Source organism: Homo sapiens, chromosome 7 (genome assembly GCF_000001405.40).
Source record: "Homo sapiens chromosome 7, GRCh38.p14 Primary Assembly".
Classification (NCBI taxonomy): Eukaryota; Metazoa; Chordata; class Mammalia; order Primates; family Hominidae; genus Homo; species Homo sapiens.
In genome coordinates this window covers 140,396,744-140,401,582 of record NC_000007.14, presented here as the reverse complement: position 1 = coordinate 140,401,582, position 4,839 = coordinate 140,396,744, and the positions used below count along the sequence as shown (strand labels likewise).

General features: G+C 47.8%; 1 protein-coding gene across 17 annotated transcripts in view, besides 2 other annotated features; it reads left to right on the top strand.

Moving 5' to 3' along the window:
- Positions 2,906-3,135: a silencer, noted in NCBI's record as "silent region_18711". NCBI's record gives its function as "represses an Ori minimal core promoter by ATAC-STARR-seq in GM12878 lymphoblastoid cells {active_cell/tissue: GM12878}" and the evidence as "EXISTENCE:reporter gene assay evidence [ECO:0000049][PMID:35858748]".
- The window catches only part of SLC37A3 (solute carrier family 37 member 3), a 64,779-nt gene continuing 62,992 nt past the window's right edge, over positions 3,053-4,839 (top strand). For all 17 annotated transcript variants that reach the window (NR_156492.1, NR_156491.1, NR_156490.1 and 14 more), the window contains exon 1: positions 3,053-3,167. The gene's annotated coding sequence lies outside the window, so the exon portion shown is untranslated. The remainder of the gene's footprint in view (positions 3,168-4,839) is intronic.
- Positions 3,246-3,515: a silencer, noted in NCBI's record as "silent region_18710". NCBI's record gives its function as "represses an Ori minimal core promoter by ATAC-STARR-seq in GM12878 lymphoblastoid cells {active_cell/tissue: GM12878}" and the evidence as "EXISTENCE:reporter gene assay evidence [ECO:0000049][PMID:35858748]".

Here is a 4,839-nt window from a genome sequence, read left to right as displayed (position 1 = left end):
GTTCAGTGTCCAAATGTTGTCTTTCTTCTGGTAATGGTTACTTTTTTTTTTTTTTTCCTGAGATAAGGTTTAGCTTTTGTCACTCAGGCTCGAGTGCAATGGTGCGATCTTGGCTCACTGCAACCTCCACCTCCCGGGTTCAAGCGATTCTCCTGCCTCAGCCTCCCGAGTAGTTGGGATTACAGGCACCCGCCACCACGTCCAGCTAATTTTTGTATTTTTAGTAGAGATGGGGTTTCACTATGTTGGCCAGGCTGGTCTGGAACTCCTGACCTCAGGTGATCCACTTGCCTCGGCCTTCCAAAGTGCTGGGATTATAGGGGTGAGCCACCGCACCTGGGGTGGTTACTGTTTAAAAAAAAAGTCACCTGACTCAGACCCACTGAGCACTTGGAGAACATCTACAGGTAGAAAACAAATGTTACAAATATTTAAATATCCTGATGGTTTTGGAAGTCAAGGGGAGAGAGATCTTACCTCTGTCTACCACCCAACCCTCTCCACCAAGGTCACTATAAATACAAAGAGCATAGCTTGGGCTACAGGAAAGAAGGCATTCATATGTATAAATGTGTGTGTATATATACACTGTTTTTTCTTTTTTAAGAGACTGGGTCTCCCTCTGTCACCCAGGCTGGAGCACAGTGGTACGATCATAGCTCACTGCAGCCTCCAAAGGTGCGGCTGAAGTGATCCTCCTACCTCAACCTCCCTAGTAGCTGGGATTAAAGATACACACCACCACATGGCTAAGAAGGCATTCTAGCCCTGAGTGGTGGTGACACAGGTTATATACTTGAAGTATACACACACACATATATATGTATACACCCATATGTAAATATAACACAAAAAACTATGTATTTCACTCTATGTATATATATTTACCATTTTAACCGTTTTTAAGTGTACAATTCAATGGCATTAAATACATTGTTGTGCAACCAACATCACCATCCATCTCCAGGACTTTTTTGGCATCCCAAACGGAAACTCCATAGCCATTAAACAACAATTTCTCATTTCCCCTTCCCTCCAGCCATGGGCAACCACCATGCTACTTTCTGACTCTATGAATTTCACTACTCTGGCTACCTCATATAAGTGGAACTGTACTGTACTGGTCCTTTTATGTCTGACTTATTTCACTTAGCATAATGTTTTTGAAGGTTCGTCTATGTTGTAGTATGTGTCAGAATTTGCTACCTTTTTTAGGCTGAAAAATAAACGATTCACAATATATTTTTAAAAATAAAAGTAACATATTTGGCTCATTTATTTTTGCTCACCCTGACATCATATTTCTCCTTGGATGCCTAGAGACAAAACTACCACTGTATAAGGGCTAGAAACAAAACTACCACTGTATAAGGGCAAATAAAAATGAAAAATAACAGGCTTAATTCCTCTGCTGAAAATAAAGAGACTTCTCAGCCTTCTCTCTGTTCCTTCAAAATTTCTTTCTCTGTCCTTTTCGAATGTACACAAATCTTTATAACGGCGAAATGAGCCTCTTGCCAGTATCACAACTCAGAAATGTATCCTCAAGGACTTGGGGGTCATCTTTTTGAAATTCAGACGTGAGTTAGTGCCTGTATCTTCCAGTTCCTACATGAGGGTAAGAGACTAAATTAGTGGGTATGGGCGCCTTGCTCCAATTTGTAAAACTACCTCCTGCTATAAAGATATGCGAACTTTGGCCGGCTGCGGTGGCTCACACCTGTAATGCTAGAACTTTGGGAGGCCAAGGAGGGCAGATCACGAGGTCAGGAGATCGAGACCATCCTGGCTAACACGGTGAAACCCCGTCTCTACTAAAAATACAAAAAAATTAGCCAGGCGTGGTGGCGGGCGCCTGTAGTCCCAGCTATTCGGGAGGCTGAGGCAGGAGAATCCCTTGAACCCGGGAGGCGGAGCTTGCAGTGAGCTGAGATCACGCCACTGCACTCCAGCCTGGGTAACAGAGCAAGACTCCGTCTCAAAAACAAAAAACAAACAAACAAAAAGATATGCGAAGTTTAAAAAACGAACAACAACAACAAAAAGTTATGCGAAGTTTGTTTTGCTTCTGGATAAAGCCAACATGAGTGGTCTCCCCAATTACTACTATTAAGTAAGGAGGAACTATGTTTGACAAAAGGTGTTGTCAAGTTCTGTTATTTGAAGACTAGTGATTGTTTATCTTGAGAACAGGTATGTAATGGTTGTTGTGGAGATTTTCTGGATTAAGAGAAGTTTTTTTTCTTTAAAATTCGAACAAGTGTCTGTATTTTTTCCCTTTATTTAAGAAACGGTGGCGGCGGTGGTGGTGGTGGATGGGGGGCGGCTCTCACTACCTTGCCCAGGCTGGTCTCAAACTCTTGTTCTCAAATGATGCTCCTACTTCGGCCTCCCAAAGTGTTAGGATTACAGGTGTGAGACACTTGTGTTGGATTTTTTTTTTTTGGAGGCAGGGTCTCGTTCTGTTGCCCAGGCTGGTGCAGTGGAGCAATCACAGCTGCCAGCCTCAAACTTTTGGGCTCAAGCGATCCTCGCACCTCGGTCGCCCCAGTAGCAGGGACCACAGGCACATGCCACTACTCCTGGCTAATTTTAACATTTTTTGTAGAGATGGGGTCTGGCTATGTTGCTAAGGCTGGTCTTGAACTACTGGGTTCAAGTGATCCTCCCTTCTCGACCTCCTAAAGTGTTGGATTACAGGCGTGAGCCCACTGTGCCCGGCCTGCATTTAATTAGACACCTAAAATTTAGGCCGGTCAGTAGCACACTTAGCAGCACGTTACTTTTTATAAAAACAAAGACCGAATACCGCTTTTTTGAAAAAAAAAAAAAAAAAAAAAAAAAAAGGATGCACCAGTTCTCCCCATATCATTTCTTCTCTCTACCTCTCGTCTTTTGCAGCTAACATTACTGGCCAGGTCCGCAGCAGCAGAGTTCTGTGGGCTCCCAGCCTCCGCCCTCCTCGCCCTCCTCCGCGCCGGCAGGTGAGGCCGCGTGGCGGGACTACAACTCCCAGCGTGCCCCGCGACGGGAGGGTCACGTGGGCGTCCGGAAACCCTGGTCGCACCGCCAGGGGTGAGCTGGCGGCGGGGGAGGCGGGCAGCGGAGCCAAGCTGACCCGGCGAGCGGAGCCGGGGCTGGAGAGCGGCGACCACTGCGGATCTCGGGTGCGCAAGCGGTGATGCGTGGGGCCGAAGACCTGCTGGGGCGGGGGCGGGTCCAATCCGAGGGGCTTCCCGGGTCGGGAGGGCGGTGGGGAGATGTAGGTGGCGGCCCCCCTTGGGTGGGGCGCCCAGGCAGGGTCGGCCGCTCGCCCCCTCCTTCTCCTCCCTGGGCCCGGGCCTGGGGTCCCGGCCGTCACGGGGAGGCTGCGATGGGGTGGATGGGGAGGAGAAGGACCCCCGGGGGACCCTGCGGCCCGGCCCCGATCCATGCGGCAGAGGCTTTTGTGCTCCTCGCCCGCCTGTCCTCCGGCCGTGGGTCTGGGAGATTCTGACTTGATCAGAAAAGGGCTTGTCGTTCGGACCAGGGGAGAGGGGATGCTTTTCAGGTAGGTGGGGAAGGAAGCTCTTTGGAAAGGATGTATAGAGGTCAGAGAAGAAGCGTGGTCTCAGTGAGTGACTGGTTTTGTTTTCTGGTAACTAGCATGAACTCAGTCAAGGAATTTGGTCAAATTATTCGTCATTCCCTCCTTATTCTTCGCAGGGTGTGTTCTGTTTATTCTCAGTTTTGACAGGAGATAATGGGAATGTGTCCCCGGAGTTTTTAGTGTTTTTTTGAAATGTAAGATGGTAGGCTATCTCGTGGTAACTCTTACTGAAAAGTTTATAGTTTATAGGGAGGAGTGGTTCCTGGGGTGAGCAAAATCATTCAGTTGTTATCTTTTTGTCCACCGGTTTATTTCTACCTTTACACAAATTTATACATACATAAATATATATAACAGTTGTTGAAGGGAATGTCTTCAGTGCTTTGGTGCTTAAATGATTTCTTTTCAGTTTGTTTGATGTTTCTTGGATACTAGGCTCTATACTAAGAACTCCATATAAATTATCTCATTTAATTAATACATGAGGAAATTGAGCTTCGGGTTGGGCGCGGTGTCTCATGCCTGTAATCCCAGCACTTTGGGAGGCCGAGGCCTGTGGATTCCTTGAGGTCAGGAGTTCAAGACCAGCCTGGCCAACATGGTGAAACCCCGTCTCTACTAAAAATACAAAGATTAGCTGGGCGTCGTGGCGCATGCCTGTAATCCCAGCTACTCGGGAGGCTGAGGCAGGAGAATCGCTTGAACCTGGGAGGCGGAGGTTGCAGTGAGCCGAGATCACACCACTGCACTCCAGCCTGGGTGACAGAGCCAGACTCTGTCTTTTTTTTTTTTGAGACTGAGTTTTTGTTCTTGTCGCCCAGGCTGGAGTGCCGTGGCACCATCTCGGCTCACTGCAACCTCCGCCTCCCGGGTTCAAGTGATTCTCCTGCCTCAGCCTCCCGAGTAGCTGGGACTACAGGCGCCCGCCACCACGCCAGGCTAATTTTTGGATTTTTAGTAGGGACGGGGTTTCACCATATTGGCCATGATGATCTGGATCTCCTGACCTCGTGGTCCGCCTGCCTTGGCCTCCCAAAGCGCTGTAATTACAGGCGTGAGCCACTGCGCCCGGCCTCAGACTCTGTCAAAAAAAAAAAAACAAAAAAAAAAACAGAAATTGAGATTCAGAGAAGCTACTTTTAAGTGGAGGGTCTTAGATTCCATACCTGGCTTGTCTCTTGAATGACACCATTCTTCTATTAGTGTTTGATTTCGAGTCTCTGCCTAAGAAGGTGACCCGGAAACAATAC